The sequence below is a fragment of the Homo sapiens genome, chromosome 7 (assembly GCF_000001405.40).
Source record: "Homo sapiens chromosome 7, GRCh38.p14 Primary Assembly".
NCBI lineage: Eukaryota > Metazoa > Chordata > Mammalia > Primates > Hominidae > Homo > Homo sapiens.
The window spans coordinates 11,748,952-11,774,066 of record NC_000007.14 but is presented as its reverse complement, the minus strand read 5'-3'; the positions used below and the strand labels follow the sequence as shown (position 1 = coordinate 11,774,066).

General features: G+C 34.4%; 1 protein-coding gene across 6 annotated transcripts in view; it reads left to right on the top strand.

Annotated features, from left to right (window-relative positions):
• THSD7A (thrombospondin type 1 domain containing 7A) overlaps nt 1–25,115 on the top strand; it is a 461,834-nt gene that overhangs the window by 58,132 nt on the left and 378,587 nt on the right. The window contains exon 1 of one of the 6 annotated variants that reach the window (XM_047420040.1): nt 22,665–22,930. The exons of the other annotated variants lie outside the window; for them this stretch is intronic. The gene's annotated coding sequence lies outside the window, so the exon portion shown is untranslated. Of the gene's footprint in view, nt 1–22,664; nt 22,931–25,115 lie in introns of those variants that run through there. 6 annotated transcript variants of the gene reach the window in all.

The window sequence follows — 25,115 nt, the reverse complement described above, 5'->3', positions numbered from 1 at the left end:
CCAAATGCTGCCAATATTGATTATTACTGTTTGGGTAATTCTACTGTTGAAGAACTATGCTATTTTAATTTCCCGATTATTATTAGGTAAACTTGGGTTATTTATAACTTCTGGCCATTTATCTGTGTCTGTGTGTGTATTTCTGTAAATTGTCTCTTCATGCCATTTGTTCATTGTTTTCTGTGGGTTAGATTGTTTTTTCTTATTGTTAATAACAGGCTTTTTATTAATCACCTTATGTGCAATTTTTTATTTTTAATTTTTAAAATGAGTTTACCATGTAGAAATTCCCAATTACCCTGATTTGACTAATCACTCTCCTAATCACTCTCCACATTGTAAGCTTGTATCAAAAAAAATGTACCCCACAAATATGTATTATTATGAATCCATAATAATTAAACATTTTTTAAAAAAGAAATTCAAAGTCTTATGTATTCAAATATGTTTGATGTTTTCCCTTTGGGTCATTTCTCACTGTCCACCATAATTATTAATGTTTGTCCTAATTGTATTATTCTTTTTTTCTTTTTTGAGATGGAGTCTCGCTCTTATTGCTCAGGCTGGAGTTTGCAATGGCTCGATTTCAGCTCACCCCAATCTCTGCCTCCCGGGTTCAAGCAATTCTCCTGCCTCAGCCTCCCGAGTAGCTGGGGTCACAGGCATGACCACCATGCCTGGCTAATTTCGTATTTTAGTAGAGACAGGGTTTCTCCATTTTGATCAGGCTGGTCACGAACTCCCGACCTAGATGATCTGCCCGCCTCGGCCTCCCAAAGTGCTGAGATTACAGGCGTGAGCCACTGTGCCCAGCCACTTCTGTTATTCTTTAGGTATTGACTTTACATTTAACTACTAAATTGATGTGTAAAATTCCATAAATATGCATTTTTTGTTAGCATAGTCTATAAGGAAGCATCTTTCAGTGTTAAAAATATTCATCCTTTCTTTGCAAGCAAACATATGATGGGGCCTTTATTATATACCAAATTCTTAGGTACACAGAGGTTTCTTAGGCTCTTCATTCTATTTCATTAATATTATTGTTGATTTCTGTATGACTATCAGTGTTAATCACTGTAGTTTCTTTTCTTCTAGTATTTTTTAAAAACACATTTTGTCACCATTGCTGCCCACGTTTGAAATTATCTTGACTGTTGTTGGATTTTATTTATCAAAATGAACTTTTTTTGTCATCTTTTATTTTAGATTGAGGGGTTGCATGTACAGGTTTGGTACATAGGTAAGTTGCATGTCACCGGAATTGGTTTAGAAATGATTTCATCACCCTGGTAGTGAGCAGAGTACACTATAGGTAATTTTTTGACTCACCCTCCTTCTACCCTCCCCCTGGCAAGTAGGCCCTAGTATCTATTATTCCCATGTTTGTGTCCATGTATACTCAACATTTAGCTCCCATTTTTAAGTAAGAATGCACAGAATGTGGTTTTCCATTTCTGCATTAATTGCTTAGGATAATGGCCTCCAGCTGCATCCATGTAAAGGACATGATTTCTTTTTTTATGGGTACATAGTATTTCATGGTGTATATGTACCACATTTTCTTTATCCAAGCCAGTGTTGATGGGCATCTAGATTGATTCCATGTCTTTGTTATTGTGAATAGTGCTGTGATGAACATATGGGTGCATGTGTCTTTTTAGAAGAATGATTTATATTCCTTTGCATATATACCCAGTAATGGGATTCTTGGGTCAAATGGTAGTTCTGTTTTAAGTTCTTTGAGAGATCTCCATGCTGCTTTCCACAGTGGCTGAACTAATTTACATTCTCACCACCAGCATTCCCTTTCCTCCAGATCCCCATTGCCAGCATCTGTTTTGTTTTGTTTTTTTTTGTTTTAACTTTTTAATAATAATAATTCTGACTGGTGTGAGATAGTATCTCATTGTGGTTTGAATTTGCATTTCTCTAACGATTAGAGTATTAGTCTGTTCTCACATTGCTTAAAGAAATACTGAAGACTGGGTAATTTATAAAGAAAAGAGGTTTAGTTGGCTCACAGTTCTGCAGGCTGTACAAGAAGCGTGAATGCTGGCACCTGCTTCACTTCTGAGAGGCCTCAGCAAACTTTCAACCATGGCGGAAGGTGAAAGGAGAGCACACACATCACACGGCCAGAGTAGGAGCAAGAGAGAGACAGAAAAGGTGCAACACACTTTTAAACAACCAGATCTGAGAATTCACTCACCGTCACAAGAACAGCAGCAAGGAGATGGTGCTAAACCATTCATGAAAGATCTACCGCCATGATCCAATCACCTCCCACTAGGCCCCAACTCCAGCATTGGAGATTCCAATTCCACGTGAGATTTGGGTGAGGAGATAGATCCAAACCTTATCAATTAGCGATGTTGAGTATTTTTTCGTATGCTTTTTGGCCACATGTATGACTTCTTTTGAGAAAGATGAACTTTACAATTACTATTTACTCCAGGAAAAAAAAAAACCTGGTATGTATATATTGAAATTGCATAAAGTAATTTAGCAATAGCTGATATCTTTCTTATATCAAACTTCCAAATCTCATAACTTAGAGATTGTTATCTGATGGTTACCACTTCATTTCTCAATGTTTTAAAATTACATATTTTGCATTGGCTTTATTTATTTTCTATTTATTTAATTATAAATGTATACCTAGTGTTCACATGTCAAACTTTTCTCTCTGTATTTATAACATCAATGGCTTCATATTCAACTGTTTTTATATTTTTCTAATAAGTGTTAAAGATTATTGATCGTTGTGATCACTTATTCATCTTTATTATTAGATGTGCCTACATGATAGTTAGTATTCAATATTTACCAAGTTAAAAAATTCCAATGTAAATTTTTTATAATTGAGGAGAAATTGTTATAAACATATCTATGGGATTCTTTATTATAAATCATAAACATATTTTATATTAATTATGATGAAAAATCTCTTAATAGTCAATGTTTCTATATATATTTTTCTAAGTTGAAAAATTGATCTATGAGAAAAAAATTTTTAAAGAAAGAATGTATGAGATACTTTTATGATGAAATTATCTTTTTCTAGTCTTCTATGTATCAAAAAATTCATGAATATTAAAATTTTATATATTTATTAGGCAAATTTATTGTATATTAATGGATTTCTTCATTTCACATATAACTATTATTTTTGATTTTTTAAAAAGTAAAATACATTGAAAAGATTTCTCTTTTTACTTACCATAAATACTTCTACGTAGCCAAAAAATCTTGATATATTTCAGTATAGTCAGTAGATTTGGAGTTAAAGAATGTGATTCCACAAATATTGACCTTACTTTAGCATTAATTTTTTTGCATAGTTTTCTCAAAGTAATGGAAGTTTAGAACAAATAATTTAAATCACACAATCTAGAATTGGTTGTGAATCCTACCGAAGATTCAATTTTCATGCTATGTGTAGTCCTTGAAGTAGAAGAGAGATTTCAAAGAAGTTGTGGGTAATGATAAAGCTCAAAAGTTAGACTGAAACAATCATTTGTCAGTTTCCAGTTGATAACATTAGCCCTTTGCCTCAGAAACACTGGTAAATGTGGCTTCACTGTCAGAATTAACCTTGCTCTTTAAACTATACTCTTGACTTTAGATAAACAGAAAATAAATTCTGTAATTTCATGTACTAAATGGTTTCATTAAGATCACATTTTGAGCAAACCTAGGATTAAACCAGATTATGGCAATTGCAATTAAAATATAATTCTTGAAATTTTATTATTTTCTATTAGCAAACTAAATATTTGGTTTGGCTTCTGAGTGCAACATTATTTAAACTCTACTTAAAATTATGATTTAACTATGATTCTTTTATTTATTAAATAGATCTTTAAATATAATAGAGGGTGATTCAACTAAGAATTGAAAACAAAATAGTTTTATTAAAAAATGTATGATGAAAAGTTGGTTATTTTTTCAAGTTTTTATGCTCTGGTTACATAAAGATCACAGAATTAAGTGTCAATGCAATAGGTAAAATAATGAACATGTGGAATAGTGGTATGAATCACCACTATTCAAAGCCAGCTTCTAACATTTGTCTTTGACAAATGCCATAGTGACAAGAAAGTGAAATTTAAGATTAGAATAATATAAATTATATGTCAGTTTTCAAAAATGTTGCTTATTTACGTTATTTAATTTTCAAGATACTTGAAATTAATCACTGCTATAGATATTGCAAGTAATCATACAGATACTTTTAGATTAAAGTTAAGAAGAGGACTCACTGAAATATTTCTTATTTAGAATTTAACTGCCACAAATAAAACTGAAAATGCAAACGTTTACTGAAAATAAACTGGATATAAATAAATAGAAGGAAAAGCTTCAGGTAGTACTTCTAGATAGTAGGAACTATTAGCCAACATTAATAAATCAGGTGAGACAAAATTACATGGGGAAAAGTGAATGTCTGGGTGTGAATACCAGAGATATTTCTAGATAAACATAATCAGAATTTTGCTTAGAAAAGTGTTTCCCTAAGGACCCTTTCTTGAGACACAGCTTCTTGAAAAAAAAGATAAATATCTAGTTAAACTCATTTATCATCACAAGTTATTATGAAATGGCAGCCCACTGGTGACCTTACAGACTCACTGCCTTAAGTCCCAGCCAAGGGATCAACACAATTGATGATTTAATAATTAACTATTCTTTGGTTACAAATATCTTTGCAATTAATTTTCCAGAGTAGGCTGCTCTACAGGTGATTGCTTTCAAATCCATTAAATGGGCCAGGCGCAGTGGCTCATGCCTGTAATCCCAGCACTTTGGGAGGCCGAGGCAGGCAGATCACCTGAGGTCAGGAGTTTGAGACCGGCCTGGCTAACATAGTGAAACCCCATCTCTACAAAAATACCAAAAAAAAAAAAAAATATATATATATATATATATATATATATATATTGCCAGGAATTATGGCAGGTGCCTGTAATCGCAGCTACTCAGGAGGCTGAGGCAGGAGAATCACTTGAATCCAGGAGGCAGAGGTTGCAGTGAGCCGAGATCGCACCATTGCACTCCAGCCTGGGCAACAGAATGAGAGTCCATCTCAAAAAAATCAAAACAAAAATAAAACAAAACAAAACAAAACCATTAAATGGATTATGATAGGCTATGTGTTTGAAAGCATAAAGGAGTGGCATGCTTGGGATGCTGAGGTTGATTATATTCTAGAAAATTTGTTTGTAAGTCAACTGATTGAAATAAAAGTACTTTTAAATTTAAATATCATATTCTTAGATAAGGCTTCAAAAACAATGCATTTTATATAACAAATTAACAACGTAGAATAAATTGTCCTTAATGATATCTTTTCTTATCAAACTAAGGTATAAAATATTACACATGGGAAGTCTGCCGACACCTTTTTAATGAAACTGTGAACTCACTGTCCTTAGTTCAAGAGGTCTATCCCTGAGTTCACAATCACATGGACTAGAGTTGGAGATCACTTTTGACCATACCCATCGCTAATTACCTAAATACGCCAGTAGTACTTAGAAAGGGGAAGGTGAAAAACCTGTAAAGAGGCTTTCAGTCTCATGACTTTCAACCTCAAGATTCCTATCTCTGTCGACTCCTAGACAGTCTAAATGACTCCATGTTGCCACAAAGATTGCATGCCAATTGTTATATATATCCTATGGTGTCAAGCCAGTTTGTGATTGCCTCTATGATGTTAGCTCTTGAAACACGGAGAACTTATTAGGTGGTTTTGCCTTATGACAAACATATGATTCCGTTTGCCAATATATCCTGATATATTGTTGGACAACTAGCATTTATAATGGCCCAAGGTCTTTTGCAAATGAGTTTAGAAGGAAAATAACAACCTCAATATTAACATAAGAACCATCATTTGATTAGGATACTGAATAGTCCTGCCAAGTATGGTCTTCTTATTTAAACTCAGGTTACATGTTTCTTGCACATTACTTATCAGATATTTCACACACATCTCACTGGTTTACATTTATTCTAAATCCTTTTATTGTAAATGATCACTCCTAGATTACAGGATATTTAAAGAATAGCTAATATATTTATTTTGATCCCTTTTCAGCTCCTCATTCATATTGTTAAAGTAAGAAAATGTCTATGATGTCTTAAAGTCATCTCTCCTTCTAAGTCCTTATTCCTTGAATGTTCTCCCTGACTGATACTCTTTTATGCTGAGCTGTTTCCTTGTTGGAGCTTCTGTTGTCCTCAACCCATTGTTTTCTACAACAAAACTGCACTCAGATCTTTCATTTTCTGGCTACAAGGAGAGGTGTTCTTTATTCATTCAACTTTCAACAAGAATTAATTAAGGACCAATTATATGCCAGCAACTCTTCTAGGTTTTTCTGTGAACAGAAAACCCAAAGATCTATTCCTGTTGGAACTTACTTTGGGGTGATACTGATAATAAAATGAAAATACTATATAATAAAATATACAATAATTTTGAAAGTTATATTAAAAATCATGTGGAAAGTTAACATGTGTTGTAGCAGGGTTACAGTTTTAAACAAGGTGGTTAAAGTAGATTTCGTTAATGTGTATTTAAGTAAAGAATTAATACATCTAGACTAATTAATGTTCCTGGCTAAGGGAACAGGCAGTGCAGACACATGCTTGGTATGTTTGAGAAACAGTAAAAAAGCTGATGTGACTGGAGGAAAGTAACCACAAGGGAAGAATTGCACACACAGTGGTTAGAGACGTTATGAAGAACCAGATAATGTAGGTCATCATAATGACTGGCTTTGGTTGCGAATAAAATGGGATTCTGGTACAAGGTTTGGGGCAGAGGAATAATATGTTCTGATATTTTTAAATTGAATTTTCTGAAACCCCAAAAAACAATGAATGTACAGTGTACCCCTGTTTACTTCTCCTTATGTTCATGAACTATTGATTTCTTCCCACAATTGCTGTTTATACACAGAAACATACATGCACATGCATGTACACACACCCACACACTTTCCCAAATCATTAAAAGAAGTTTTCTGTAAATATCATGGCACTCCTCCTTAACCATTTCAATTTGCATTTTCTAGAAACAAAGACCTTCTCTTACTCTGCCACATCATCATTACCATACCTAAGACAATAAACATTAATGCAGTGGCAGTTTTGAAATTTCCCCCATTTTCAAATTTCCCAGATTTTCTTCAAAATGTCCTTTTTAGCTTTGTGGTTGTTCTTTAATCCTGTGTAAACCAAACCCCACTCGTTGCATTGGCTAAACTGTTTCTCCCTGTTCTCCACCAATCTGAGTCCTCTGCCTGCCTCTGTTCTCAATGGCATTTAATCTTGAATTCAGGTCAATTGTACTGTAGATCACTCCTTATTCTGGATTTGAGTGATAGCCTCCTGATTATTATATTCAGTTCATAATATCAGAATATATTTTGCTTGTTTCATATATTTATTGCTTGGCTAGGCAGAAAAGTCAAACATATTTACCAAGTCCACATGACATTCACTTGTTTAATCTCTATAAGGATAAACGTTTGAACCAATAGAGTTATTTCTGAAAGTCATCTTTAGTTTAAGTGATAGATGAGAATATTGGTTCAATACCCTGTGAGTTTGTCGTGGAGAGTTGTGTCTTATTTACCTACTTCATTTATCCCATAGGGAAGGCAGTTGATTTCTACATTTTGCAAAATTCTAGTTAGATGTATTATTGATAAAATTGCTGTTCAGATCTGATGACAATTTAATATAGAACAAAACTAGATTGAGTGACCTTTGCTGCAACTGATGCTGGCCTTTCTTCTTGTTAAGTGACTGGTCAATTTATCTAACTTATAGGAAATATTGTGATTGCTAAATGGACTGTCATAGTTAAAGATATACACCATTCATCTTGAAAAGGTTCACCAGGCAATAATAATGAGAGAAGGTCAAGGGGCATGAGACTTCAAACAGCTTTTAAAATTCACTGCCCTTCCACACATATGTAGTTGTATTTTTTTCACTTTTAGCTATTTACTTAGAGTCCACTGTCACTGAATTGACACTGTGTACACTCAAAGGTGAGAATATGTTTTGCCAAATAATTATAAAGTCAAACTGTTTAGATTTGTGTACAGGATAAAAAATAATTTTTGTATATTCTTTGAGATGGGAATTCAGACTCAGATAATTATTTTTATGCTAAGTTGCTCAGGTTCTGACCTATTTTTAAGGAAAATTGGATTTATTTTCTGATAGTGCTGTACATGTTCAGGGTATGTACAGGCTGCAATGGACAGAACTAGAGGGCCATAACCAGTTTGGAAAGAAGATGGAATACCACTACTGTATACTTACATGAAACTACTCAAGGGAACCAGCTTGTTTCCCAGGAAATCCAAGCAGGGGAAATGCATAGTAATCTCACTTAGTGACAGAATGTGTGACTAAAATGAATGAAGAAAATGTAATTCAAAAATAAAATTTAAGTTGGCGATAGTCAAAGTTTTTTCTCTACAAATTATTATACAAACCATATATATTTTAACTATTCATATTTATTTGAACTAGTCTAAGCAACTTCCAAGGAAGGAAACATTTGTTGCTTTTGACCTGTACAATTTGTTATTCTTCATAGGCACCTGGTAACCTATCGTACTGGTAAGAAATGCTATTCAGCTGGATATCACCTAGTATATCTCATTAACACATGCCAAAGCTGGACAAGTCTTTTCTAGATTTTTGTAATTTTAAAGCATATTCATAATTCTATGAGAAAGTATCCTAAGATAGCAAACTTAAATATTCGCATCACAAGTTCATGTATGTATGAGCAACAGCATGATGAAATAAAGTTTATTTTTCTCCTTTATAGTGAACTTTTAAATAAGTCCCTGAACTACTTTCTGTGAATGAACCTATATTTTTCTATACCTTATTTACACATTTTCCAGTATCAGTTTCTCTCAAAAATGAATTTTCATTTTTGGTAGATTTTTTGAATTATCACTTTTAATAAAAAGATTTATACATTTCTTATGCCACATATTTTTAAGTATTTAATCAGTGTCTACTATATCTTCCTTATCTCTCAGGTTTGTCATTAAGAGTTTCTATACTGTTACAGATTTTAAACCATTTCTACTTACATTAGAGTTTGACAGATTAGCCTCTTAAAATCCATATCCTAATTTTTCATAGTTTTTCCTTATAATTTAATGAATTATAAAATTCACTTCAATTTTAAAATATTGTTTTATTCAAATTACTGTATTTTCCAAGGGCTGAAATTGAATAAATTGACTTATTGAAGTCTTCCAAGTAATATAATCCTAATATAATCCATTAGTTTACTAAATTGGCTCATTCCATAATTACTAAAAATTATGATAAAACCAGAATTTAGGTTTTAAAAATATTTTAAATTATTGATCTGATTATGCTTTCATGAGAAACTAAGGTAATTGTAGTTTCATTCTCATCCCTTTACTTTTTTTTTTTTTTTTTTTGAGACGGAGTCTCGTTCTTTCACCCAGGCCGGACTGCAGTGGCGCTATCTCGGCTCCGCCTCCTGGGTTCACATTATTCTCCTGCCTCAGCCTCCCGAGTAGCTGGGACAACAGGCGCCTGCCACCACGCCTGGCTAATTTTTTGTATTTTTGGTAGAGACGGGGTTTCACCGTGTTAGCCAGGATGGTCTCGATCTCCTGACCTCGTGATCCACCCGCCTCGGCCTCCCAAAGTGCTGGGATCACAGGCATGAGCCACCATGCCCGGTCTTTACTTTTAAATTTATCTATTTTTATACTATAGACTATTTGTAAATACCATTAATTTAATTTCAGTTGGTATTTTATGACAGCTGTGTTGTCAAGCACTGACCCTGTCAAGTTCGTACTCTTTCTACCTTAGTGTGAGTCATTTAATTTAAGGTAGGATTGAATAATTGGGCTATATAAAATTTGGTTTCTTAGAACAATACATTGGTAATTATGAAGATTTGCAGGATTTATTTACATTCTTTTTCTGATTTTTGATTGGAAGAAAGGAAAAACAGAGAAAGGATGATGCAACTTAATAATATAATGGATAGCTGATCAAACAGTTTGAGTTCTTTTAAGAGTTTTACAAAATATTACTTACTTATCCCCATTTAATACTAATCATAGTCTTACTTTAACTACTCCACAGAGGAATTTTAGATTATAGCTCCAACTAATATGTTTTTATATAACATATCACCTTTAAATCCTGAGGAAATGAGCAATAAATAAGAGCTTTGAGAAAAGCTAGAGCAGGAATCTAAATATCATTTTCCTAGAAAGGCAGGAACCGTATTTAATAACCAGCTACAAATATTGCTATAATCATTAAGGGAAATGACATTCAAAGAATGAGTTATTGTGATTAAAAAAACTAACCTAATTTCTTACTGTTTAAGTTATAAACACTAAGAAGTCTTATTAATTCATCTACTTCATTTTTTGAGTTGATTGTTTTAAGGCATTATGCTAAGATTTAGGTATATGTAAAATACATATACACAGATATATCTATATGTATTTATGTGTATGTGTATATAGATGTGTATATATGTGTACATGGATATATATGCATATACATTTAGATATACATGCACAGATAAAACAATGTAAAACTATTTTGATGTATGTAAACACAATGAAGAGAGCATCTAACTTAGTTCAGTCAAGATATGGACAGCAAAGTATTACCCTGAGAAGTGATATTTTAGCTAAGACCTGAAAATTGAAAAGAGTTGGTAAGGTAGATGAGGACAGAGATGACAGAAGGCATCCCAGGTGGAGGAAGCAGCATTTGAATATGTCAGGCTGCAGGATGATTTGGTTACCAGTGGGATGGAAGTACAGTTTATATTAAGGGAATACTTGGAAAAGAAGAAAGAAAAACAATTTGGAATGGCCTTTAGTGCTATGGCAAAGTGTGGGGGGTTGTTAGCTTTTGTCTTTTTCTGGTCAGTGATAGGGACCCAATAAAGAATTTTAAGCAATGAAATGACTTTTTAGTTTATACGTTAGAAATACAATTATGTTTGCTTAGGATTGTTTGGCTATTGGGGCTCTTTTATTGGTTCCATATGAATTTTACAATTTTTTTAATTCTGTGAAAAATGACATAGGTAACGTGAAAGTAACTGTGTTGAATCTGTAGATTTCTTTGGTCAATATGGTCATTATAATGATGTTGATTGTCTAATTCATGAGAATGGAATGTTTTTCCGTTTGTTTGTGTCATCTATAATTTTTTTCATGAATATTTTGTAGTTTGTAGAGATCTTTCACCTTCATATGGGACTTAAATAAATTAAAGAGTTTCTGCACAGCAAAAGAAACAATCAACAGAGTAAGCAGACAACTTCCAGAATGGGAGAAAATATTTGCAAACTATGTATCTAACAAAGGATTAATATCCAGAACTTATAAGGAACTTAAACAAATCAACAAGAATAAAACAAATAACCTGATTTATTGAAAAGTGGGCAAAGGACACGAACAGACATTTCTCAGAAGAAGACACCTGAGCGGCCAGCAAACATATAAAAATGCTCCATATCACTAATCAGCAGATAAATGCAAATTAAAGCCATAAGATACCATCTCATACCAGTCAGAATGGCTGTTACTAAAGTCAAAAATAATAAATCATAGCTAGGATGAATAAGAAAGGAACCGCCTAGACATTGCTGGTGGAAATGTAAATTAATTCAACACCTATGAAAATCAGTATGGGGGTGTCTCAAATAACTAACAATATCATTACCATTCAACCTAGCAATCCCACTAATGGATACCTGCCCAAAGAAACCATTTTATCAAAAAGACACATGTACTTGTATGTTTATCACAGCACTATTTACAATCCTAAGTTAGGGAACCTAAGTGTCTATGAACAGTAGCTTGGATAAAAAAATGTGGTAGGTATACACCATGGAATACTATGCAGCGATAAAAAGCATGGAATTATGGCCTTTGCAGCAACATGATTGAAACTGGAGGCCATCATCCAAAGTGAATTAATGCAGAAAAAGAAAATAAAATTCTACATGTTCTCAGTTATAAGTGGTATACAGTTGGTACAGATGAACATAAAGATGGAAATAATAGACAGTGAGTACTCCAAAAGGGGGGAAGGAGGGAGGCAGGCAAGTGTTGAAGAGACTACTTATTGGGTACTATGTCCACTATTTGGGTGATAGGTTCTCTAGGAGCCCAAACCCCAGCATCACCCAACATACTCATGTAACAAACCTGCACGTGTACCCCCAAATCTAAAATAAAACCTTAAAGAAAGAAAGAAAGGAATGCAATTCTGATATCAAAATAGCAGTTTAAAAGAGAGTTTGTGACAAGATTAAAGGGTTGTTAGAAATTGACATTTGCAAGTCACTTGGAAGGTATTTGCAACCATAGATGGTAAATGATAAGAAGTACTACAAACTGTCATTCACATGTTAACACAGCCTCCTCTTGAAAACACTATACATGTAGATATATACACACACAATGTATGCATTACATATATATACATTGTATGTATGTATAATATACACATATACATACATATAATGAAATGATGCCCTTTATGAAAAAAGATATGCATGATGAAAACATCTTTATGAAATAAAGCTCTAAGAAAGTATGTTACTGTATAAGTGATTCTATTTGCAAAGATGTTATATATTGACCAGAATTTTGGTGGTGGATGACATGATATGTATTTCAACCTTCAGTTAACAGATGTTGGATTTCCCTTTCCCACAGAAGAAGTATTGATTTTTATATCTGTTTAACCACTAATGAATATGTGTTAATGAAAACCCAGGGCAAATTCTGTATTTCAAAATGAATTTGCTTTTTTAAAAATTGAATATAAAGATCTAAAAAGATGTTTGATGTAATCAAAGTTGTCTTCAAGTTTTAGAAACAGCAGTTAATCTTCGGGCTGTTCTAAAAATTTTTTGTTTGTTTTACATATTTATACTTTTGGGTTTGACATATTTATAGCTTATCAGCATCTTAGCAATATGTTTGTATTCGATTTATAAAAATTATAATTATATATAAATATATAAATTATAATTTATAATTTATAAATATTATAGCCAGTAATTTTTATTTGTGTTTTAAAATATGTAACATTAGTAGATAATTATTATGCCCTGTGGTATGATAATGGATTTTTAAAATGTTCTTAAAAGCAAATTTTAAGATTTTATTTTTATTTTCTATCATAACAAATTTAAACCTCACAAATTATTTTCAGTTAAAAGTAATTATTTTGATTATATGGTTTTAAACTGGTTGTTTGCTGATATTATTAACATAGTATGTGCTAAAGCCTCTGGTACAACATGAAAGCTGTAATAAAATTTACTGTAAACCATCCATGAAGGGCACTTTTACAGATGTTGTGATTATGTGAGCCTAGAGGCTATATTGCTGTAATTGGCATCCTGTGAGGCTGGTGTTCTGCAATTGTTCCTGGAAGCTCAGCGAACAAGAAGATTGGATTTCACAACGTTTACATTTGTTGGCTGTTACTTTGCGTTCACATAATGAGGAACATTCACATAATGAGGAACATTCACATAATGAGGAACAGCCATTCTTACTTGCCATACTGTTCTTTATAATCAAATGCAAAAATACATCCTATTTCTTTTTTTTGCCCACTACAGATTTGTTTTCTTTAATATTTTTGAAGCACTATCTATTAAACGTTACTGAATGTTCTTTCTTACAACAAACATTATATTTATTCTTGCCTCAGTGCAAATGTACTTAACTTTACTTGTATCCATCTAAATCTCCCAAATATCATTCCATTAATTTTTGAATCTTCCAGTTTGGAAGTTCATTTTATTACAATTCTTTCAGTGGATACAATGGGCATTTTATTGGAAATATTTATCAGAACAAATCCTAAGGTGTCTATCATCATCTTTCTCTTCTTTCCCAATAAGTACCTTGAGATGCTTTAAATCTAACCACCCCTCCCAACTTGTGTAATATTGCTTCTCATATTTTGTTTGTGTATATTTGTATCACTTAATATTAGATATTCTTATCAATTCCTTATACAGTCAATGGTGACTTAGATCCACTCACATATATGTACTGTTTCTCCAAACTTCTTTAGGTCACTAACTTCTCTATGCAACATAGTCTTTAGGAGTTCTATTAATGAGAATATGCAGTTTGTAAACTATCTCAATTTGTTGATATTTGAAATGTCTTTAGTTCACTATTGTTATGAAAGACTGCTTTGCCCAGCATAAAATTCTAGGTTGACAGATATTTTTCTCATAGCATTTTGAGAAACTTTAATAAATTTCTTGTATCTGGCATTCTGCTCTCTAGGTGTGATTAGGTAATCGTGTGTGTGTATATGTGTATGTGTATACACCTCTCTAGAAATTCGCTTGGCTTTCTGAATATGAGAACTGATATCTTTCATGAATTCTGAAAAATTTAGTTATTATTTCTTCTATTGCCTTCCCTTATTCTTTCTATATTCTCTGCACAGAACACTGATTAGATATGTTAGATCTTCTCACTCTTTCTGTCCTTGTCACATATTCATATGTCTGTGTGCCACACTGTGAATGATTTCTACAGATTAATATCTTTCAACTTATTATCTCTTCTCCTGTATCTCATCTGCTGTTTAATATTCTCAATGAATTTCTAAACAACCATACCTTTTAGTTGTGATCATTTCATTGGTTCTTTTTCAAATTACATGGTCATTTTTGCCTCTTCCTTTAGCATACTTTCACTACATATTGATATTCTTTTAAACAAATAAATCTTCTTAGGCTATATTTATTGTTGTATAATTCTGCTGTTTTTGCCCGCTTCAACTGTAATGTGTTTTTTTTACTGACTTTCACTCATGGTTGCTCCTTTCCTGTTGAATTCGTGTTTCTTGGAACATTAGCTATTGGAATTCTTTGACGTCTTTTGGCTTATTTTCTCCAGAGATAATTTGTGTTTACTTTCTCCAGGTCCCTGGATCCTTACCAGAAGGGGCAATTTAAAGCTAATTTTTTTACTTAAGTTTTTTTTGACCAGGCTTAGCAAACTACAGCCTGCAGAACAATTTCAGCCTGCTGCCTGCTTTCATGAATAAAGTTTTACTGGCACACAGCTACATATATGTTTTGTCCTTGGCTGCTTTCCCATTACAATGGCAGAATTGAGTGGTTGCAACAGAGGCCATGTGGCTCACAGAGCCTAAAATATTTACTATCCGGTCATCTACAGAAAAACTTTGATAACCACTAGTTTAAGCCATATCATCCATTCCTTTAAAGATAGGATTGTGGCTTTGAACTCTCATAGGATACTTTTTGCTTATTCCCTTCCAAATAGAAACAATGATAAGACAGAAAATTATCTTTGCCCTCTGTCTGTAGTTACGGATACATTCACGTTGTGGGAGTCCTGGCATCCTATAGAAGTCCTTAATTTTACTCCCCATTTTGAGCTGCTTTGGGGTTTTGTCATATGTTCAGTACACTCGTAACTTTTACAGCCAAACCCTGCACCAGCCAAGATGAACAAAAATATACCTCTGGCAAATGCAGATTTCAGCATTTACTTTTCTCACTGCATTCATGCTTTCTTATTTTTTTCTGCATCTGAGTTCCTCTGATATCAGCTCGGCCATGCATTAAGAAAATAAACATGTTATATTTTATCTAGCATTTAAAGGTTTTCTACGCTAAGAGGATTTCTCTAGACATCAGTTCCACCATATTACCAAATATAGAGCATAACCTATTTTAGGGATTATCTCAAACTACACTTCTTCCCTCAAGATAGTGTAGTTTAAGTCTACTGGTTTTGAATTCAGCCTGCTGCAAACAGTTCAGTTTCCACCATTTTCTCTATATGTGACTTTTCGTTTTTACTCAATCACTATTAGGTTCCTATTTCCCCAATTAAAGATAATGCACTTATTTATTAGGGGCTTTGTGATGATTAAAGTGAAACATTATATATATATATATATATATATATATATGAATGCATATGTATATATAATGTTAGCACAGTGCTCAAAAACAGTAAGTGGTCAATAAAAAATTTTATAATCATTATTATTATTATTACTAAATTGGCCTATTCCATTTTTAATTAAGCCTATGTTCCAGTCATTTATTCTAGAATCTGAACATTAGTAATTAACACTTGACTAGCCTTTGAGGGTAAGAGAATAATTATCAAATATTCATGTATTACAGACACTTTATAAAAGCCCATTAAAGATATTTACTCTAAATCATAAGTCATGTTACAATGGACAAAGGGAATACAAATATAACATTCTGGAGAATCAAAAAACAGAACTTATAATCTGTCAGTTACTTTTCTTAAATACCTCTAATATCAATCAACTTACTCATTTTGGGGAGTTTTATATGGTAGTTATTTAGAGGATTAAATATGAGTTAGTATTACTTAAATAATGAGTAAGTATCCAGAAGATCTGAATTTAAGTCCCAGGATTTACAGGGCTAGATCTGTAACTTGGGTGAGGCAGTTCCTCACTGCTTCTCTTTTTTTCATTGATAAGATGAGATCAGTAATACTTCCTTTCTTATTGTGTTGTGAAAGTATACAAAGGTATTCTGAAAGTATGTAGCATTGCTAAATGCCTTAACATTTGTTGTTATTGGTGTTTTGGAAAAGCTGAGCGTCATGCATCCATATCATAGATCTCATTCTGGTTACAGTCATTAAATATGTGCCAACCAATATGGTTAAACATGAAAATAGATCTGATAAATACCAAGTTTTGTCTAAATAGTATTTCCAAACTCTAATTACAATGCTGTTCTACCATTGTGCTTTTAGTATCTTTTCAGTACTTTTGTGAAACAGTAACCTTCACGTTTGCAGTGGCTTTATATTTAAAAATACATATATAGAGATCAATAAATGTTTACTAAGCACACACTAGATGTAAAACATTATGCCAGAAGTTAAAAAGAATATCTATTTAATTAGACACACTATGGCCTTAAGAAACTTATGTGCTCTGCTTGCACACCAGAGATGAATAAAATCTAAACTCACTTGATGCCAGAATTCAGCATGCAATAACTAAAGAACATGTTATTTCCTTAAAAATAATCTCAAAACCCTAGAAACAACTTCAGGCTAAAAATGTCCTCTTTAAAACAAAATGCTGTTTTGATTTAATTTCTCACTTGCTGTTGCCTACTGTACTTCTTTGATTATTGCCTTTCCTTTCTGTATTTTCAACTCTGTAGTTCTGGAGGCTGCTTTTCTCCAGTATATAAATATTCTCAGCTTACTGCAGAGCTTAATAAACCGATAGAAACAAGCAAATCCATGCAACCTACTTGCCCTATCTAATCACATCTCTCTCCTTTTTCTTTATGATCAGGTTTACTAAATGAACATTTTTTTTTTCTTGTCCTGTGATTTGCTTTCTGTCCCCGTGATTTTACTAAAGCCTTTCTTGTTCAGGTCACTGAGGACCTGTTAATTACCAAACAAGTGCATTAGACACTTCTCAGAAAAAAGTGTATTAGACACTTCTCAGAGAATTTCTCTCCCCACTTCTCCAAGATATTTCAGTTACTCCCCAAGTATTTCCCACATTCTTTCTCTCCTCCTCTTCTCCACTCTCACCACCTTAGACTTGGACTACTGCTTATCACGCCTGACTTTTCTATACACATCCAGTCTTGACCCTAGAAGTCACCTTCCAAAATGTTTGGTCATCTTTGTATGCACAACATTTATTACCTCGTTGCTCTCCTCAAAATGTTTAAATTAATAGATTTATGAGTAATTAAGAAGATGGGATTTCCAGGCTTTTAGTAACATAATAGATGTGGAAGGGACAGAAAGAGAAAGTATAAAAGGACCCAGGATGAATAACCTGGTACATTCTGCAAATAAAGAAACTGGAATATAGTGACATTTAAAAGCAGATGCAATGATAATGTTGCTATGAGATAAGTGTCTTTTATTATCATTAAGTAGATTTTTAGCTGAAACTTAGAAATATAAGTGCACATGAAAATTGTGTTTTCAAAGTGGCAATCTTTTCAGAACTACTTTTAGAATGTATACGGCGTATTTTTCCTTGCCTTTCTCTAAAAGTTGTTATTGACACAAAATTACACATTAATTCCTTTTGGCTTTATTTTAAATTATTTAAGTGAATACATCTAGATCTGTTTCTAAGCAGTATTTCTTTGAAATTTAAACTTATCAAAAGTTATGTCTAACTTCATACTAAAACAAGCAAAATGAACAACCCTTCCCCTGGTCTGCTCTGAGCCAGTGACTGTGCACAGCAGGAACACTAGAGCCAAGACTTTCTGCTCAACATGAGGTACTTCCAGCTGGCATTTTTGGTCCAAAGACTTCCCATCATCTTGACAGAGACTTCCTCGACCTGTGCTGCCATCCGAGGCTCTTTCTACCCGATCTTTCCTTCCCTATCTCTATCATAGGTGACAGAGCTGCCTCAGGGTCTGAAGGCCTTCCCTGACTTTCCAAGCCTTCCCTTTTGGCTTTCATAAGCATTTCTCCCCATTTACTATCTTGTAGTGTCCAATCATGGAGGACTTTAACTAGGACAACTTCAGAATGGGGTTCTTGGATTTAGGATTTTTGCCTATGACCAAATAGTTTGCATATTCATGCTTTTAATTGGTATTGTAATAATATAGGTATTTGCTATTTTGAGAAATAATTTTGTCAGGATTTGTAGGAAATGTCTTCCTATCATATACCATGTCCCTAAATGAGGGTTTCTCAATTTTGGCACTGTTGAAATTTTTGACTAGATAATTCTTTGTTTTGGAGGGCCATCTTATGCACTGTGTGACTTTCAGAAGCAGCCCTCAATCCTCCGCCCCCTAGAGACCAGTAGCACTGCCCTCCTGTCTCCAGAAGTTGCCAAGTGGCTTCTCAGAGGCAAAGTGACCCCTGGTTAAGAACTACTGATCATGTATATAATTTGTGTTGTTAGTGTCTGCGTATTGTCAATATATAGTTCTATTATTATATTCTTACGCCTAAGGAATAAACTTTTTTTTACTCAACATAAACTATATAATACAGTTAGAGAACCACTGATCATGTATATAATTTGTGTTGTTGGTGTCAGTGTCTGCGTATTGTCAATATATAGTTCTATTATTATATTCTTATGCCTAAGGAATAAAACATTTTTTACTCAACATAAACTATATAATACATTTAGAAAACATCAAAGATGGCAAAAAAGGAACTACATTGTATGTTGAAATCAACCATGTCCTAGGAAATACATTATATGGCCATTACAATTGAAATAGAAAGTTTTTTAAAAGATTGCACTTGTACAGATTTTGAAGAATAACAAGAATTTGTTTAAATAGAAAAACTGTGAGGCAGGAATAATTGCATGACCTAAATCATAAAAGCAGAAATAAAAGTACATTAAGAAAAGCGCTTTCCAAGGGGACCATCTTGACAAGAAGCAGAAGAAAGATTCATGCTAAAAGTGGTCAGGTAGTAAACATGTAATTTCTTCAATTATAATATTTTCTAAGGCTTAAAAGGATGTATTTTCTCTGCTTCCTTCCCTTTAATCTACCAATTACTAAGTCCCATGTATGGCTCCACAATGTCACTTCAGTGAATTTTCCTCTCCATTGTGGTGCAGGCTGTTAAACCCAAGAACTTTGTACAATCATAACATCCTCTTACCTCGAGTTCTCACTTCCGTTACTCTCTATTTTTATCATTTCAGTCTCTTTATTGATATTCTCTATTTTTCAGAGACAACATTTTCATACTTTTACTTCTTTAGACATGGTTTCTTTGATTTCTTTGAATATATTTGTAATAGATTATTTAAAATATTTTTCTAGTAAATCTGAAATAGGGGCTTCCTGGGAGATGGTTTCTATTGAATGCTTTTTTCCTTATATTAAGGCCAAACTTTCTAGTTTCTTTATGTATCTTCTAAGTATTTTTGTTAAAAATAGACATTTAATATAAAGTGGCCGTTCTGGAAATTAGATTTTGTCCTTTCCATAGTGTGTCTGTTTGTTGTTGTTGCTGTTGTTTTTGTTGAGTTTCTATGCCTCTGTTTTGTGGTATTCATAAGTGAATTCTGTAAAATCTGGATCTAATTCTTTTTAAATTACTGACGATAATTCTTTTTCTTAATATTGGTAATTTATGTTTCTCTCTGTCTCTCTCTCTCTCTCTGTCTCTCTCTCTCTCTCCATTGCATTGTTTGTGCTAGGAATTTAGCAAGTGCATTAATCTTTTCCAAATAGCAACTTTCTTAAGTGTTTTTCATATGTATGGTCTCAGGTCTTAGGGCAGGCCAGCCAGACTGGGAACTGGGCCCAGATTAACAGTAGTGACAGTGACAGCTGTAGCAGAAACAATGGTAGGGGCAGTAGTTACAGCCACTGCAGAGAGAGAGAGAGAGAGAGAGAGAGAGAGAGAAAGGGCTGCATATATAAGCAGTGTTGGGACCCATAGTGGGAAGACAGTTTGACTTTCCACCCCCTAAGTTTAAGCTATAGCAAATTTTAACACTGTGGCCTGAGTGCTGGGAGAGGCTGTCAGGTAGCAAGCTTTGTTATAAGTTATTAAAAAATAATAGTGTACAAGTAGACATTGCAATAATGCATACCAGCGAGTTATTACAATTTGACTTCAGAATCTCTAGTTTTGAAAACTACAACACTGCAAAACATATATCTACAAGTTTAGAAATGCAAATTAATTTTAAAGATCATCACATTCAGTGGAAAACAATAATTTTCATATAAGCTTCAAACAAACAAATTGATTAAAGAGACAATTTTAAAATTAATTTTTTCTGTAATTGAAGATGCAGTGATATATAAATAGATATTTTGAATTATACACATGCTATAAAGCCATGTTTGGTTTCTTATATAACCTCCATAGTTACAGGAGCCTTCAGAGGAAACATTAAAATTTTATTTTATAAACTAACACTTTAATTAAATTCAGATTTACACAAAATTGAACTATGTAAAGAGTTAAATATTTTTAGAAATGATTGATTGATTGATTGATTGATTGATTGACTGAGACAGGGTCTCTCACTCTTGTTGGCCAGGCTGGAATGCAGTGGTGTGATCATGGATCACTGCAGCCTTGACCTCTCGGCCTCAAGCAATCCTCTCAACTCAGCCTCTTGAGTAGCTGGGACTACAGGCATATGCCACCACACCTGGCTAATAGAATTTTTTTAATTTATTTTTTGGAGAGCTGATGTATCATTATATTGCCCACTGTGGTCTTGAATTTGTGGGCTCAAGCAGTCCTCCCACCTTGGCCTCACAAAGTGTTGGGATTAAAGGTGTGAGCCACTGAGATGGGTCTTTAGAAACTTCTAAACGTTGAATCATTAGCCCTAGAGGTACTAAAATTTATGTTATAAAATAATCAAAATTGATCTTAATATCACACTCTATAAAATAATCTTATCTCTAGTAACAGTTGCATCAGTGGATTCTTCCCTAAATGAACAATTATCAAAAATTATGTACTAAAAATGATCTTGCATTGCCCAAAAAGGACTGATATTGCTTTCAGTTTAATTGGAATGAAGAAGTAGAAAAGTATAAATTGTAGAAAAATGAGAAGAAAAATGTGGGGGTGCACAGGAACATATTCAAGCTTATGTACAAGGCATTTGATGTCGAGGCATGGAAAAATACTGAGGCACTGTGTGCATGTTGTTTGTGCATGAGACTGAAACTCCTCGACCCTGAAAACAGGGCAAGGAACGGAATGTGTGATAAGGAGCCTTGAAAACAGCCTCCTGAGAATGTGGTCTGAGTGCTTTTATATGTAGTAAACAAGGCCATAGGTGCCTCATGATCTGACCAGAAATCGCCAGCTGGTGGATGTCTCTTGTTTGTCTGAATTGTAGTTTAAACAAGCTCTCTCAATAAATATTTGATGGACAGATCTTGGGGCAACACTCTCTCAGAGGAGCTGCTCCCCACCCTGCTCATCTGAAATTGTTTGAGTACTTCATTCTCAGCGTTCGCTGCAGCTATAAGCTGCAAGTGGTTACCCTGACATGATTGCCTTAAAATTATGTGTGGAGTAAGTAAACTCATCAGTCTTTGGGGAGTGTCAGTAAGGGACAGTCCCGACCCATTTCAGGAGGATGGGACCGATTCATATAATACCAGGGGTTGGGTTATCCTGGGTCAGAAATTGACCAAAGAGCAGAAAGTTTTTTTTTTTAAACGGTGCAACAATTACTTAAGGCTATCCAGTGTACCGTAAAGTCTAAAACTTTGCATAAGCTTACATTTTTAATTTGACAGGAATGCCCTTGTTTCTCTGATCAAGATTAGACTAGGAGTTATGGGATCAGGTGGGTCACTGCCTGCAAAGAAGATTTGAGCAGGGTCATTTTACTAATGTTACCATTTTGACCACCTGGACTCTGGTACACTCTGCGTTGTACTCTCTTTATATGCCAGATCATGGTGAGTCAGAGCGCCCATTTTCTTCACCTGAAGGTAATTCAGAAAATTTAAAGGGGAAGAGAATGCAGGAACCAGAACAACAGGGAGGGGCTCCTCCCCCCACTTCATTCCATTCAGTAGGGCATAAAGAAGACACTTTTTCTAGTGTTGATGAGGACAGAGTGCAGCCTTTTCCTCCCCTAATAGAAAAGCCATTGCCCTCTTTTCCTCCCCTAATAGAAAAGCCATTGCCCTCTTTTCCTCCACCCTTAAGAAGACCTGCATCTGTTGGACCAACAGACAACTATCCGGCTTACGGCCAGGGGAGCCCCTGCAGCTGCACAGAACCAGTTTCTTATGTATCTGGCGGTAATTGGGAAAGCTTCTGAGAAAGTAAGAAAGACATGGGTGTTGGGGTGGCTGGTATTTCTTGTTCTTTGCCAGGTGGACTCAGCTCAAGAACATGTTTATTGGAGTCATGTTCTGAATCCCCCTGTTTTTAATGTGATTATGTGGTGGGATGCAGACCCGCCTTTGTCATCTAATGATACTTCTTGGACAGGAGGTAGATGGATGCCCTTGTCTTACCCCTTAACTGAAATTTAGGATAGATTAAACTCAGTGACTCTTTGACTCTATTGTCTAGTAATCCCCTGACTTGTTTTTCCACAATTACTCACAATAAGTGTATTACTGTCATTCCTCAGGAGTATCTTTACTATCAGCCCAAAAGGGATGCTAAGCTTGCAAATTTGTCCTTTATTTCTGCCGTTAGACTAGTCTTACTGAGGTCTCTAATGAAGTTGTACAAGTGCCGGATCTTCCTATATGCTGTCTGAGTAGAGACTGGCCATATAAGTTTGAGGCCATCCAGTAGTCCCCGTGCAGACAACCTGCGCCACGTCAGGGGCCTCTGTTTGATAATGGCACCTTACTTGATTGGGGTCCCCATGGTAATCTCGTGTCTGCAAATCAGACTATTGGGTTTGGCAGTCCCTCCAATATTGCCATCACTTGGTCAGAATATGAGCTTTCAGGACCAATGTTACAATTAAAAAAGGGAACAAGCTTTAAGCCCTGCTCATACCTGAATTTGGAGACTAGGACTTCCTTTTTTCGAACGAATTCTTTCACATGATGATTACACTAATAGCAGTGACAACTATACCCTCTGCTTGCACAATAATGTTACTGATACCGTCCTGATTTGTACTACGCACCCCTATATACTTCTGTTTGGGCAAGGTGTTCCTAACATACAGCAGAATCAATCTTTTATAGTATTAATAATAATTAGTAATTAATAATCCTTTTATAGTCTCTTCCAGTCGTTGGTATGCTACATGCTTGTCTCATCGAAATATTATACAGTTAAATATAACCTATGTCATAATCTTAAAATGGCATACAGAATTGTGGCTCCCTGTAAATTTTACCAGGAACTGGGAAGGGATTCCACCCTGCAGTTATTTAGAAAAGCACTGTCTCATACTCAAAAAAAAAAAAAAAAATTCTGGCCACTTTAATTGCCTTTTTAGTCTCAGCTATTATTATATTAACAACTGCCACTACTACAGCTATCTGTTTGACAGAATCTGTTCATACAGCCTCAGTGGTGAACCACATGCTATGCAATGTAACCCATGAATTTCAAGAACAAGTAAACATTGATAAGAGTATTTTGTCTCACCTAGAGGCCCTTGAAGCGCCGTTGAATGGCTAGGAGATCAACCACAGGCATTCATTACTCATCAAAATTTACATTGTGATTGGCAATATAATTCTATCTGTGTTACACCTTTGCCATATGATAGCTCCCGGTATGCTTGGAAGAGAGTGAAAGCATACCTACAAGGGACTTATCACGACCACCTATCTTCTCAAGTTTCCACTCTTGAGTGCAAGTTAAAGAAACAACATGAAGAATGGTCACAGTAATTATAAACAAATACCCTTCAGCAATTACAAGAAGACTTTTAATTGTTAAACCCAAATACTTGGTTGTCTGAGTCAAACATACACATTTGGGTGATGGCCGCTATACTTATTCTTTTTTATATCTGTTTGCTAGACATCTACAAATAGCTCTGTGCTGCCACCCAACACATTTATGACTAGGGAAGAATGATAGAAGCTTACCTTGCATTAGATAACCAACATGCTCTAAGAATTAAGGGGGAGATATGTGGGGGGTGCACAGCAATATATTCAAGCTTATGTACAAGGCATTTGAGGTTGGGGCATGGAAAAATACTGAGGCACTGTGTGCATGTTGTTTGTACATAAGACTGAAACTCCTTGACCCTGAAAACAGGGCAAGGAGCAGAATGTGTGATAAGGAGCACTGAAAACAGCCTCAGGAGAATGTGATCTAAGTGCTTTTAGATTAATAAGCAAGGCCATATGGGCCATATGTGCCTCATGACCGGACCACAAATCGCCACCTGGTGGATGTCTCTTGTTTGTTTGAATTGTAGTTTAAACAAGCTCTCTCAATAATATTTGGTGGACGGATCTTGGGGTGACACTCTCTCAGAGGAGCTGCTCCCCTCCCCGCTCAGCTGGAATTGTCTGTATA